The sequence below is a fragment of the Homo sapiens genome, chromosome 2, assembly GCF_000001405.40.
Source record: "Homo sapiens chromosome 2, GRCh38.p14 Primary Assembly".
NCBI classification, from domain to species: domain Eukaryota; kingdom Metazoa; phylum Chordata; class Mammalia; order Primates; family Hominidae; genus Homo; species Homo sapiens.
Window position 1 is genome coordinate 63,612,168 of NC_000002.12, and position 14,667 is coordinate 63,626,834.

The following is a 14,667-nucleotide window of genomic DNA, read 5'->3' on the forward strand; positions in this document are numbered from 1 at the left end:
GGAAGTCAGACAAGCTTGGATTCCAGCTCTGACTCTTTTTAGGTGTCCTTAAACAACCTTTCTACGTTTTGACTCCCTCAGATACAAAATGGGGATATTAATAGTACAACCTTTAAAATGTTTTTGTGAGGATTATTTAAATGGAAAGCACATGGTAAGGGCTCAATTTACTTATTGGGTTTGTAGGGGATCGAAATACGCCACCCCAAAATATGCCACTTTAGCATAAGAAGTATTTTGAGCTAAAGTCATTTCAGATTCAACAGATACAGAAGCAGCCTTCCCAGCGCCTCCCTTGTCTGACTAAAAGCAGAAACTTCTGAAAATAAGGACTGCCATAAATCCTCTCTCCTAGGGAAGTTTCATGACCATGAAGAAGACAGAAAGTTGGCACTGACATGGACATATGAAAACAAACCTTATTCCTTTTGTTTCCCCCATACACTTACCTTTCCACAGTTTACCACCCTTGAAAGCTTAAAACCTTTTCCTTTGTCTTGTCACATCTAAATGGGCTGGTTTTTTGTGAAGATGCTATATAAACTCAAATTCTAACCATCGTTTTCAGTTACTCATCACTGAGTTTCTCCCACATGTATGTGTACTACATGTGTTAGTAAATTCTGTTTTTCTTTTGTTAATCTGTCTTTTGTCAGTTAGATTTCCAGGGCCCGAGATGGAGGCTAGGACCTAGGCAGGTAGGGGAAAAATGTTATTTTTTTCTCCCCATAGGTTTTTTCCTTTTCTTTTCCTTTCTTTCTTTCTTTTTTTTTTTTTACTTCTTAGCATCACTTCAAAGTCTATTATAATGTGGCCTCAAGTGACACCTTCCAGCCCCGTCTTTGACTATTATTCCCTGTACCTTCCATACCTTCCATGCTGGCCATGTTAAAGTACTTGGACAGTTAGTCACGTGCATGGCTCCATGCCTTTGTTTGGCTGTTCTCTTTGCTTAGAATGCTCTTCTCTGCTTCTCTAGACTGCCTTACACATAGGTAGTCAACATGTGCATATTGATTAAGGGGGGAAAATCCCAAGAACTTTTGTCCCACTGTCTTAAGACTAGTCCTCCAGTAGTAGACCCTAAAATGAGGTTTCTGAGGATTCAAATGCATGTGATTTACTAAGGCAGTGCTCCCAGGAGAAATCTCTAAGGAAGAAGAGCAGGAGCAGGGAAAAGGAGGAAGCCAAGCAATGGTGCATCTAGCCAAGGATGGCTCCAGCCTGATGAAATCAGGGAAACTTCTGTTCTTAGGCAAGGAGCCTGGGGCTTTTATTTCATACTCCCAAACCTCCCAATCATGGGATGGGGGTGGAGAATGTAATTCCCAGCCATTGCCTGCTCTCTATGCTGCCAGCAAAGCAGGCTGTAGCAGTACAGGCACAGTCCTCCAAAAAGAACCCCAGATGCTAGCTGTTAGAAGCAAAGGAAAGTCCAAGGGAATGGGAGCATGGGTGCTAAAAGGAATCTGGGCAGAAACACCAACATTATTCACCACTTCCACTGTTGGAGTGCAGAGAACAATACCCCAAAGTATGATGCTTTGTCATGCCGAACACTTCTGAATTAAAGGAACTTGGAAAGGCTAAGAACCGAGGAGTTTCTAGCCTTCTCTTATTTCTACCCCAAACCCCAAGCACAGGGAGAGGTTATCTCTGGTATTTCCCTTGTCTGACTGAGGAAAACTTCTTTCAAAAGAAATGCAATTGTCTTAAGACCCCCTCCCTAGGAATCTCATCAAATAACTAGGCAAGATTAACCACTGGAGAAAAGACTAAACATCATCACCATGCTCGGACAGACTTTTTATTCATTTTTCTGAGAGCAGCTCCAAGAGATTACCTGGGAGACTTTATTTACATAATATAAGAACCTCCGTTCACAGGGAAGTTCTGACCGTCACTATCCCACCACCTCCCCTAGTGCTCAGAATGAAGTTTTGTTCCAGAACAATGTCTGTTCTTTGGGCTCATTCAATTATCCTGAAAATCATTTACTACCCCTCAAAATTGCCCACATCCCCCATTCCCTCTCCCCTATGAAGAAGATTTTTAAACCTCAACCATCTGACCCTTCTTTGAGTTTCATATTTTGTATGGCTTCTGTACACACTTGCATGTTAATAAATTTGTATGCCTTTTTCTCCTGTTAATCTCCCTACTGTCAGTTCATTTCAGCAAACCTTCAGAAGGCAAATGGCAAACTTTCCCTCCACTCCTATGTTTACCCACTTAGTCTTACTCCTAATGAAGCCTAGATGAACTCTATCATTTTATACTTAGAGGGAGATGGCACTGTTAGGGCTCAGAACACAACAGCCCAAGGTATGATGTCTTTGGTATGCTGAGTACTTTGAAATGAAAGAGGCTGGAAGAACCACAGAAGCAAAGTCTCTCTCTGACCTTCTCTTATCCTCTTGTCTCCCATCCTTTTTCCTCCCCAAAGCAGGCCTATAAACTAGTATTCCTCTTCCCCAAGGTGACTCATAGCAATTAAAACTCCTGTTCCCCAAAACAAGTCATAAAACCTAGAAAGACCTCTTTTTCCCTTTTCACTTGAAGAACCTCATTCCATAGGAATTCTGCCCCATACCTTGGAGGATGAAATGCTTCCCAGAGAGGAATTTCAAGAATCTGAACAGACAGGCCTTGCTAGGTTTCTCCCCTCAGTTGATTACCATTAGATCATACCCTGTATCCAATCACATTTCTACGCAACTGTCTATTCTTCATTGAACCTAAGCATAAAAACAGACAATTTTCCCTAGGTTTGGGGATTTTCATTCTGAAGCCTCCCGTATCACATAAAACTTTGATAAAATAAGTTTGTTAGGCTTTTCTCTTGTTAACCTGTTTTTGTTATAGTGAGAGAGGAGGTAGAAAGACACTAGCTAGGCAGACAGGGCAAAGAGTTCTCGGCAGAACTTCCCTTCTAACAAAAAGCAGCCCAGGAAATCACTTACCTTTTAACAAAGAGCAGCCTGGAAGATCAGGCTGCAAACACAGATAAGGAAGCAGCTATGACACAGAGGTGGAGCTTCCTGGGTAATTGGCAAGTTTCACATACATACGGTGGATCCCAGTAAACACAATGGGCCTTAGTGAGCACATTCCTTTCCTTTTTACGACATACTCATGGGGAGATGCCTGCAGCCGCACCAACAAAAAAGGAGTACCTGGGGCCAGGCATGTCCACCGTGCGGGATCTACCTCCCCTTTTTCAGCACATGCACAGTAGGAAAGAAATAAGCAATGCGAAGAAGCTCAGGCCAAGGAGCCGTCTGCATAATAAAAGGTAGGGGTGGGGGCTGCCAGAGATTTGTGCTCTGTGCAGATGGCACACCTGGTTCTAACCTGTTTTTCATGCCCTAGGTAAATAAGATACCCCCTCCCCACTAACTCATTTATAAAAACCCTTGCATTTCCCTGCAGAATGGCAACACTTTTGGGGACCCCACTCTGCAGCAGAGAGCTGTTTCTTTTGCCTATTAAACTTCTGCTCTAACCTCACCCTTGGTGTGTTTGTGTCCTTGCTTTCCTTGGCCACAAGACCAAGAACTTCAGGTGCCACCCCAGGCAATGAGGCCATTTCAAGAGGGGTGTCAGCCACAACCCTTAGGATTACACCTGGGTTCTGCACATGATTTATGTGTGCATGATTTTCTACTCATGCTTCTTCTCTTACTTTGTGGCCCTGAGAATAAGCTTTCTCGTTTCACCATAGAGCTAAATTCATAGCACTACTTATTCTAGCTGGAAGTTACCTTGGTAATAATAATATTCTCAGGCTTGAGCTGGGGCATTTCCAGAATAAAGTTGCTCAGAGTTAATGCTCTCCTGTTCATTTATTTTTTCAACAGAGAGATTAGTCTGTGCATGGCATTGTGCTAATTCCAGGTACATTGATGAATTCTATCTTTATGGAACATACTATAAATAACACACATATAGTACAATAAATTCTTTGCAGGAAATAGTGCAATGTTAAGAAACTTACAGAGGTGAGAATCTACTTAGATAGGGATGGTTCTCTAAATCTTTCTGAGGCATTGATATTTAAGGCCAAGATCTGAAGAATAAGAAGGGAGAGGGGGAGTTCCTTCCTTACCTCACAAAGGGAATTATAAATGGAAAAGCCTTGAGCCTGGAAAAAACTCCTCCTGTTTTAGGAAAGAAAAGGTCTGTTTAGGCCTAAAACAAACTGGGGGAATTAAGGGAGGGAGGGTAAAGGGGCTGAAAATGGAATTGGAGAGGTAAGTAGGAGCCAGTCCATGCTAGACCCTCACCTTAGCCTAATAGGCTAGATTTCTTTTTAACATGCAAAAGTAAGTCTAATGTGCACCTTTGAGTCTTTTATATATCCTTTACTCTATAGCATAAAATAAGAAATATAAAACAAAAACGAAATAATTTTAAGATTCTAGTGGCTTTAGTATTGCCAATAATGTTGATTAGTGGACAACTTTGCTTATGTGGAAAGAGACCATATTACTCTCCTCCCTTCCTCCTATATTAGAATGCAAATAAGTAGCATTATTTAAACACAGCAACCCACGTGGAGAAGAAAAAAATCATTATTTTAAAAAGTATATGCAAATAAGGATATTAGTGATAATGTGAAAAGGACTAAATAAAATTACAATCCATAGAAGGATTTTAAAGCTAGAAGAAACTTTGAGATTATCCAACAAAATGCTTTTTTTTAATTGAAGTAATGACAAGGATATTTACGGTTTAAGAATTTTTTGTTTGTAAAAACAAAATGCCTTTCTCTAACATCCCCAAAAGTAAAAATAAAGCTGGAGTAGGTGGAAAAACAAATTTAGAAATGGATGCAAACCAGGAGCTTTTGCCTTGTCTCTGATTTGGCAGCAGGTCTTCTGGGGCAGAACTGAGCACTTGTAATTAGCACCTCACCACAGGAAAAATTTGTAATAACTCTCAAGAAAGCCATTCAAGACACAGAATAAATTCCACATTGGCCATGCTCTTGCAGCCATAAGAGATAATTAACCATGTTTTAATGTATTTGTTGGAGTGATAATGTAGACCAGCTGCCTTTCAATTCAGCTATGAAATTGAAAATAAGGATTTTCAAAATTATCTTGAACTTAGAGATGGGTTGAAAATAAGATTAAAATGATTACATTGTACTTTCAAATGAAATTATAACCTCATATCTTCCTTATTTCATACGTGTTTGAGAGGGAAAAATGCTTTCTTATACCCTTCTAGGTTCTGTGGCTGGTCTAAGAATTAAACTGACATAGATTAATAGGAGAAAAATAATTACATATGTACACATAGGAGTCCCACAGATATATGAAACTAAGCAGCCAGGTGATTGAGACTTTCATATTGTCTGCGGTTACAGAAAGGAATAGGGGTTTGGGGCTGCTCAGGGGTGGTGGAGGCAAATTGTGGGAAGGCTAGAGGAGGAAATGTATAGTGAATAAAAGTTGCCTGCCTTGTTATACAGATAAGAGTCTCTCAGGTGATAAAAGTTGTCTTCAGGGATGGCCATCTTCCTGGAACAAATACCTTTACTAATGAAAATTTCCTTTATAAATGTAAATTTCCTTTATAAAAGAGGAAATTTATACTTTATTTTAGGCAGTTGAGATAAAGAGTTGGTTCTCAATTTCTTTTAGCTCAAAATAATCAGCATGCCAAAGCAACATATTTTAGAATGGCATGTTCTGAACCCCTTCATATGCATATATGTACACATTTGTTTTCAACCCAGATCAGGTAAATACAAACACTTATCTTGAAACCACACTGCTTTTAGGCAAGACAACATGAAAATAAAAAAGAAAATAGTTTTTAAAAATTCTTTATCTGTACTGTTTGTTTTCTCTTATGTTTTTTTTCCATTGATAAAAAAATGCATTTTGCATTTCAATTACTAAATCCTTGAGGATTAAGACAGATTTAAATGAAAGAGGGGCTTATGTAAATATACCACCTTTGAGTCAGAAATAAGAACAATTTTCTTTTCTGCTCAAATATCAACGCCCTGTTGAGAAGAAGATTCCCCAAAATGCTCAAGCAAGTGCTTAGAATGAAAACTCAGCCAGCACAGAGTGGAATGAAGAACTGGGAAAGCTTTATCTGGAAGGTTTTATTTCCTGGGGGGAAACTGCACCTTTGAACTTAATAGCTTAACGGGAAGTACAATCGGCAACTAAGGTAGAAATGGACTTCATTGCTTTCCTTCAACACACAAAGTACATTCGAGTCTCATCACCAATTTATTATTAAGAATTTAATTGCCCAGGTGTTAAGCATTTTCTTTTTCTTTCCTGAATTCATTTACTGCAATTGTGAAATGATCAGTGATTATCCCCTATGTTCCTCCCTTAGATACTGATACCACCACGCTGGAACGATTTCTTATTCAACACTCTTGAGCTCTAGTTGACAATTCTGCATGCCCTTGGTTCACTTTTTGAAGCATGGGTACTGTGGGCCTTTTAAAATGTGTTACTTTTGATAGAAGGATAGAAGTGGGATAGTAATTTTTTTTTTTTTTTTTTTGAGACAGAGTTTCGCTCTTGTTGCCCAGGCTGGAGTGCAATGGCGCAATCTCCGCTCACCGCAATCTCTGCCTCCCAGGTTCAAGCAATTCTCCTGCCTCAGCTCCTGAGCAGCTGGGATTACAGGTATGCACCACCTCGCCTAGCTAATTTTGTATTTTTAGTAGAGACAGGGTTTCTCCATGTTGGTCAGGCTGGTCTCAAACTGCTGACCTCAAGTGATTCGCCCGCCTCACCCTCCCAAAGTGCTGGGATTACAGGCATGAGCCACTGCGTCCAGCCTGGATAATCATTTTTTGTTTTAAATGGGTTGTAAATTGTATGGTGTGAAGAGGATCTATTTCATCCTGATCCGTGTTAAAATGTAAAATTAAACAGAACCACTATCAGGTCTCCCAGGAGGACTTTATTCTGTCATCTTCTTTGTTTCTTGACCACCACTCCCTTCCTCCAATCCATGTTAGTTGGCTGGCCATTTAGGGAGCACGCAAAAATAGTGAAGGGCAGAGAGGAGTTTTAAACTGATATCAGTATGTTGGGTCATGGGTAACAGATCATCAGAGAAAATTATCCAGCTTCCTTTTAAAAGATTTTAACAGAAGGGATTTCAAGACTTGGAGTACCCAACCTTCTTTACCTTCATATATCCACATCCCTCCTACCCTTGATGACTTGATTCAATTATCATCTACTCTATAAAGCTCAATCTAAAATGAGCCTTCCTCTTCAAAGCTTTCATAGATTTTTGGTACAGCTAACTCATGTGGCCACTGGTCATGCACTTCCTTGCAGCATTGCCTCCCTTTGAACTTAACTGCTGTCATTATTTACTCTTCCTCGGTCTATGTCCTATTTTACTAGATTGTAAGCACCTGAAAAAAAGGATCTACATCTTCTATTCTTTAACAGTGCCTGGCACCATGCTTTGTATCTAAGGAGATCTTTCAATAATTATTATCGATTTCAAATATTAGCACCATGTAACTGGTTCACATAAAAATACAAGGATTAGGAAGTGGCTGGCAAGATGGCCAAATAGGAACAGCTCTGGTCTGCAGCTCCCAGGCAGATCAATGCAGAAGGTGGGTGATTTTTGCATTCCCAACTGAGGTACCCAGCTCATCTCATTGGGACTGGTTAGACAGTGGGTGCGGCCCATGGAGAGCAAGCCAAAGCAGAGTGGGACATTGCCTCACCTGGGAAGCGCAAGGGGTCGGGGAACTCCCTCCCCAAGCCAAGGTAAGCCGTGAGGGACTGTGCCATGAAAAATGGTGCATTCCGGCCCAGATACTACGCTTTTCCCATAGGCTTTGCAACCCATAGACCAGGGGACCCCCTCAGGTGCCTACACCACCAGGGCCCTAGGTTTCAAACACAAAACTGGGTGGCCATTTGGGCAGACACCGAGCTAGCTGCAGGAGTTTTTTTTCCTACCCCAGTGGCACCTGGAACACCAGTGTGACAGAAGCGTTCACCCCCCTGGAAAGGGGGCTAAAGCCAGGGAGCCAACTGGTCTAGCTCAGCGGATCCCACCCCAACAGAGCCCAGCAAGCTAAGACTCATTGGCTTGAAATTCTCACTGCCAGCACAGCAGTCTGAAGTCTACCTGGGATGCTCAAGCTTGGTAGGGGGAGGGGCATCCACTATTACTGAGACTTGAGTAGACAGTCTTCCCTTCACAGTGTAAACAAAGCCTTTCGGAAGTTCGAACTGAGTAGAGCCCACTGCAGCTTGGCAAAGCCACTGTAACCAGACTGCCTCTCTAGATTCCTCCCCTCTGGGCAGGACATCCCTGAAAGAAAGGCAGCAGCCCCCGTCAGGGGCTTACAGATAAAATTCCCATCTCCCTGGGACAGAGCACCTGGGGGAAGGGGTGGGTGTGGGCACAGCTTCAGCAGATTTAAACGTTCCTGTCTGCCAGCTCTGAAGAGAGCAGCAGATCTCCCAACACAGTGCTTGAGCTCTGCTAAGGGACAGACTGTCTCCTCAAGTGGGTGCCTGAACCCCCTGCCTCCTGACTGGGAGACACCTCCCAGCAGGGGTCAACAGACATAAAGGAGAGCTCCAGCTGGCATCTGGCAGGTGCCCCTCTGGGACAAAGCTTCCAGAGGTAGGAACAGGCAGCAATCTTTGCTGTTCTGCAGCCACTGATGGTGATACTCAGGCAAACAGACTCTGCAGTGGACCTCCAGCAAACTCCAGCAGACCTGAGCAGAGGGGCTGACTGTTAGAAGGAAAACTAACAAACAGAAAACAATAGCATCAACATCAACAAAAAGGACACCCACACCAAAACCCCATCCGAAGGTCACCAACATCAAAGACCAAAGGTAGATAAATCCACAAAGATGAGGAAAAACCAGTACAGAAAGGCTGAAAATTCCAGAAACCAGAACACCCCTTTTCTTCCAAAGGATCACAACTCCTCACCAGCAAGGGAACAAAACTGGATGAAAAATGAGTTTGACAAATTAACTGATGTAGAAGGTGGCTTCAGACGGTGGCTAATAACAAACTCCTCTGAGCTAAAGGAGCACATTCTAACCCAAGGCAAGAAAGCTAAGAACCTTGAAAAAAGGTTAGAGGAATTGCTAACTAGAATAACCAGTTTAGAGAAGAACATAAATGACATGATGGAGCTGAAAAACAGCACAAGAACTTCGTGAAGCATACACAAGTATCAATAGCCGAATTGATCAAGCAGAAGAAAGGATATCAGAGATTGAAGATCAACTTAATGAAATAAAATGTGAAGACAAGATTAGAGAATAAAGAATGAAAAGTAATGAACAAAGCCTCCAATAAATACGGGACTATGTAAAATGACTAAACTTACGTTTGATTGGTGTACCTGAAAGTGATGGAGAGGATGGAACCAAGTTGGAAAACACTCTTCAGGATATTATCCAGGAGAACTTCCCCAACGTAGCAAGGCAGGCCAACATTCAAATTCAGGAAATACAGAGAACACCACTAAGATACTCCTAAAAAGGAGCAACCCCAAGACACATAATCATCAGATTCACCAAGGTTGAAATGAAGGAAAAAATGTTAAGGGCAGCCAGAAAGAAAGGTCGGGTTACCCAAAAGGGAAGCCCATCAGACTACCAGTGGATCTGCTTGCAGAAACTCTACAAGCCAGAAGAGGCTGGGGGCCAATATTCAACATTCTTTTTTTTTTTTATTATACTTTAAGTTTTAGGGTACATGTGCACAATGTGCAGGTTAGTTACATATGTATACATGTGCCGTACTGGTGCACTGCACCCACTAACTCGTCATCTAGCATTAGGTATATCTCCCAATGCTATCCCTCCCCCCTCCCCACTCCCCTCACCCCTCAACATTCTTTCTTTTTTCTTTTTTTTTTTTTTTTTTGGAAGTTGATTTTTAATGATAAAGTACAATGGAGGGAGGGCAGAGGGGCTAAGCCTAGCTGTCTGGGTTGCTGTGGTGGTGGTGGGCTGGCTACACAAACTGTTGCTGCTGCTGCTGCTTCTTGGTGGCCGCCTTGCTGGCGAGGTCCTTGGCCTTCTCTGTAGCTGCCAGTGCCGTCTCCTCTGCCTTCTCCTTGGCTTCCTTGGCTGTCTCAAGTGTTTTGGAAGGGGCCTCGCCTTGCAGCTTAGTCAAGATATATTCAAAACCCTTCATAGTCTTGGTCACGTTGCTTTTGAACTGGGCAAGACCAAATTCCTGGACAGCTCTGGAGACACCAAATAAGCTAGAGGAGACCCAGGCTTCCCGGCGGATTTCAGTCCAGCCGCTGTTGTCAGAGTTCACACAGTAAACACATCGTTCCTCCACCACCATCAGCCGGGCGTGGTTGATGTTCCAGGTGAAGGTAGTCATGGTCTGATTCTGTGGGTCCACAATAGAGTCCTCCAGGATGTACACCGAGTGAGCAACATTGGCAGGAAATAGTTGCTTGGCCCAGCGTGGCATTCTGTTGGTCTTGGTCAGGAGTCGCCGGGACAGCAGTTTCTGGTCAGGGGTCACCTCCCGGTGTACTATGTCTTCCGTCAAGACATGTTTGCTATAGGGATTCGGGTACCGCTGCCAGAAGGCGGCGAACACTTGGTCCCAGGAACTCCGGAGCACGCTCTGGCCCAGGAAATACTTAACCATCGTCCTGGCCGAAGTGGGCTCAGCACCCGCGCAGCATCAGGGGTGCGGAGCCTGGGAGGCACGCGGGGGCCGGGCCAGGCCGGGGCTCGGCGCACACCTGCTGCCAGGCTCGTAGCTCAGTCACCACCGCACGGCGCCCAAGCAGCTGCTGCCGCCGCCATGAGTTGTCCGACCGCGCGCCACTTCCGGCGCAGCCCCGCTCAACATTCTTAAAGAAAAGAATTTTCAGCCCAGAATCTCATATCCAATCAAACTAAGCTTCATAAATGAAAAAGAAATAACGTCTTTTACAGACAAGCAAATGCTGAGAGATTTTTTCACCACCAGGCCTGCCTTACAAGAGCTCCTGAAGGAAGCACTAAATATGGAAAGGAAAAACTGGTACCTGCCACTGCAAAAACATACCAAATTGTAAAGACCATCAACGCTATGAAGAAACTGCATCAATGGGCAAAATAACCAGCTAGCATCATAATGACAGGATCAAATTCACACAAAACAATATTAAACTCAAATGTAAATGGGCTAAATGCCCCAATTAAAAGACACAGACTGACAAATTGGATAGAGTCAAGACCTGTCAGTGTGCTGTATTCAGGAGACCCACCTCGCGTGTAAAGACACATACAGGCTCAAAATAAAGGGATGGAGGAATATTTACCAAGCAAATGGAAAGCAGAAAAAAAAAAAAGAAGGGGTTGCATTCCTAGTCTCTGTAAAACAGACTTTAAACCAACAAAGATCAAAAAAGACAAAGAAGAACATTACATTATTGTAAAGGGATCAACACAACAAGAAGAGCTAACTATCCTAAATATACATGAACCCAATACAGGAGCACCCAGATTCATAAAGCAAGTTCTTAGAGACCTACAAAGAGACTTAGACTCCCACACAATAATAGTGGGAGTCTTTAACACCCCACTGTCAATATCAGACAGATCAACAAGACAGAAAATTAACAAGGATATTCAGGACTTGAACTTAGCTCTGGACCAAGTGGACCTAATAGACATGTTCAGAACCCTCCACCCAAAATCAACAGAATATAAATTCTCAGCACCACATTGCACTTATTCTAAAACTGACCACATATGTGGAAGTGAAACACTCCTCAGCAAATGCAAAAGAACAGAAATCATAACAAACAGTCACTCAAACCATAGTGCAATCAAATTAGAACTCAGGATTAAGAAACTCACTCAAAACTGCACAACTACATGGACACTAAACAACCTGCTCCTGAATGACTACTGGGTAAATAACGAAATTAAGGCAGAAATAAGTAAGTTCTCTGAAGCCAATGAGAACAAAGACACAACGTATCAGAATCTCTGGGGCACTGCTAAAGTAGTGTTTAAAGGGAAATTTATAGCACTAAATGCCCACAGGAGAAAGTGGGAAAGATCTAAAATTGACACCCTGACATCACAATTAAAAGAACTAGAGAAGCAAGAGCAAACTAACTCAAAAGCTAGCAGAAGACAAGAAATAACTAAGATTAGAGCAGAACTGCAGATTAGAACAGAAAAACCCTTCAAGGAATCAATAAATCCAGGAGCTGGTTTTTTGAAAAGATTAACAAAATAGATAGACCTCTAGCCAGACTAATATAGAAGAAAAGAGAGAAGAATCAAATAGACACAATAAAAAAAGATAAAGGGGAGATTACCACTGATCCCACAGAAATACAAACTACCATCAGAGAATACTATAAACATCTCTGTGTAAATAAACTAGAAAATCTAGAAGAAATGGATACATTCCTGCACATATACACCCTCCCAAGACTAAACCAGGAAGAAGTCAAACCCTGAGTAGACCAATAACAAATTCTGAAATTCAGTCAGGAATTAATAGCTTACCAACCAAAAAAAGCCCAGAACCAGATGGATTCACAGCCGAATTCTACCAAAGGTACAAAGAGGAGCTGGTACCATTCCTTCTGAAACTATTCCAAACAATAGAAAAAGAGGGACGCTTCCCTAACTCATTTTATGAGGCCAGCATCATCCTGATACCAAAACCTGGCAGAGACAACAAAAAAAGAAAATTTCATGACAATATCCCTGATGAACATTGATGTGAAAATCCTCAAAACAATACTGGCAAACCAAATCCAGCAGCACATCAAAAGGCTGATCCACCACTATCAAGTGAGCTTCATCCCTGGGACACAAGGCTGGTTCCACATATGCAAATCAATAAACGTAATCCATCACATAAACAGAACCAATGACAAAAACCACATGAATATCTCAACAGATGCAGAAAAGGCCTTTGGTAAAATGCAACACCCCTTCATGCAAAAAACTCTCAATAATCTAGGTATTGATGGAATGTATCTCAAAATAATAAGAGCTATTTATGACAAACCCATAGCCAATATCATACGGAATGGGCAAAAGCTGGAAGCATTCCCTTTCAAAACAGGCACAAGACAAGGATGCTCTCTCTCTCACCACTCCTATTCAACATATTGGAAGTTCTGGCGAGGGCAATTAGGCAAGAGAAAGAAATAAAGGGTATTCAAACAGGAAGAGAGGAAGTCAAATTGTCTCTGTTTGAAGATAACATCATTGTATATTTAGAAAACCCCATCGTCTGAGCCCAACGTCTCCTTAAGCTGATAAGCAACTTCAGCAAACTATCAGGATACAAAATCAATGTGCAAAAATCGCAAGCATTCTTATACACGGATAATAGACAAACAGAGAGCCAAATCATGAGTGAACTCCCATTCACAATTGCCACAAAGAGAATAAAATGTCTAGGAATACAACTTACAAGGGATGTGAAGAGGGATGTGAAGGACCTCTTCAAGGGGAACTACAAACCACGCTCAAGGCAATAAAAGAACACAAACAAATGGAAAAACATTCCATGCTCATGGATGGGAAGAATCAATATCGTGAAAATGGCCATACTGCCTAAAGTAATTCATAGATTCAATGCTATCCCCATCAAGCTACCATTGACTTTCTTCACAGAATTAGAAAAAACTACTTTAAATTTCATATGGAACCAAAAAAGAGCCCATATAGCCAAGACAATCCTAAGCAAAAATAACAAAGCTGGAGGCACCATGCTACCTGACTTCAAATTATACTACAAGGCTACAGTAACCAAAACAGCATGGTACTGATACTAAAACAGATATATAGACCTATGGAACAGAACTGAGGCCTTAGAAATAAGGCCATACATCTACAACCATCTGATCTTTGACAAACCTGACAAAAACAAGCAGAGGGGAAAGGATTCCCTATTTAATAAATGGTGTTGGGAAAACTGGCTAGCCATATGCAGAAAACTGAAACTGGACCCCTTCCTTACACCTTATACAAAAATTAACTCAAGATGGATTAAAGACTTAAATGTAAGACCTAAAACCGTAAAAACCCTGGAAGAAAACCTAGGCAATATCATTCAGGACATAGGCATGGGCAAAGACTTCATGACCAAAATACCAAAAGCAACGGCAACAAAAGCTAAAATTGACAAATTGGATCTAATTAAACCTAAGAGCTTCTGCACAGCAAAATAAATTATCATTAGAGTGAACAGGCAACCTACAGAATGGGAGAAAATATTTGCAATCTATCTATCTGACAGAGGGATAATATTCAGAATCTACAAAGAACTTAAACAAATTTACAAGAAAAAATAACCCCATTAAAAAAGGATATGAACAGACACTTCTCAAAAGAAGACATTTATGCAGCCAATAAACATATTTTAAAAAGCTCATCATCACTGGTCATTAGAGAAATGCAAATCAAAACCACAATGAGATACCATCTCATACCAGTTAGAATGGCAATCATCAAAATGTCAGGAAACAACAGATGATGGAGAGGATGTGGAGAAACAGGAACGATTTTACACTGTTGGTGGGAATGTAAATTAGTTCAACCATTGTGGCAGACATTGTTGCCATTCCTCAAGGATCTAGAACCAGAAATACAATACATCACACACTGGGGTCTGCCATGGGGTGCAA

General features: G+C 41.7%; 1 protein-coding gene and 1 pseudogene across 5 annotated transcripts in view, besides 2 other annotated features; both read right to left on the minus strand.

Moving 5' to 3' along the window:
- Positions 1-14,667, minus strand: part of WDPCP (WD repeat containing planar cell polarity effector) — a 721,268-nt gene that overhangs the window by 492,609 nt on the left and 213,992 nt on the right. The gene's annotated exons all lie outside the window — the stretch shown is intronic.
- Positions 2,263-3,125: an enhancer, noted in NCBI's record as "OCT4-NANOG-H3K27ac-H3K4me1 hESC enhancer chr2:63841564-63842426 (GRCh37/hg19 assembly coordinates)". NCBI's record gives its function as "activates a minimal SCP1, AML or CMV promoter by ChIP-STARR-seq in primed H9 embryonic stem cells {active_cell/tissue: H9 hESC(primed)}" and the evidence as "EXISTENCE:reporter gene assay evidence [ECO:0000049][PMID:30033119]".
- Positions 3,126-3,988: an enhancer, noted in NCBI's record as "OCT4-NANOG-H3K27ac-H3K4me1 hESC enhancer chr2:63842427-63843289 (GRCh37/hg19 assembly coordinates)". NCBI's record gives its function as "activates a minimal SCP1, AML or CMV promoter by ChIP-STARR-seq in naive and primed H9 embryonic stem cells {active_cell/tissue: H9 hESC(naive and primed)}" and the evidence as "EXISTENCE:reporter gene assay evidence [ECO:0000049][PMID:30033119]".
- Positions 9,917-10,842, minus strand: PRELID1P6 (PRELID1 pseudogene 6; annotated as a pseudogene).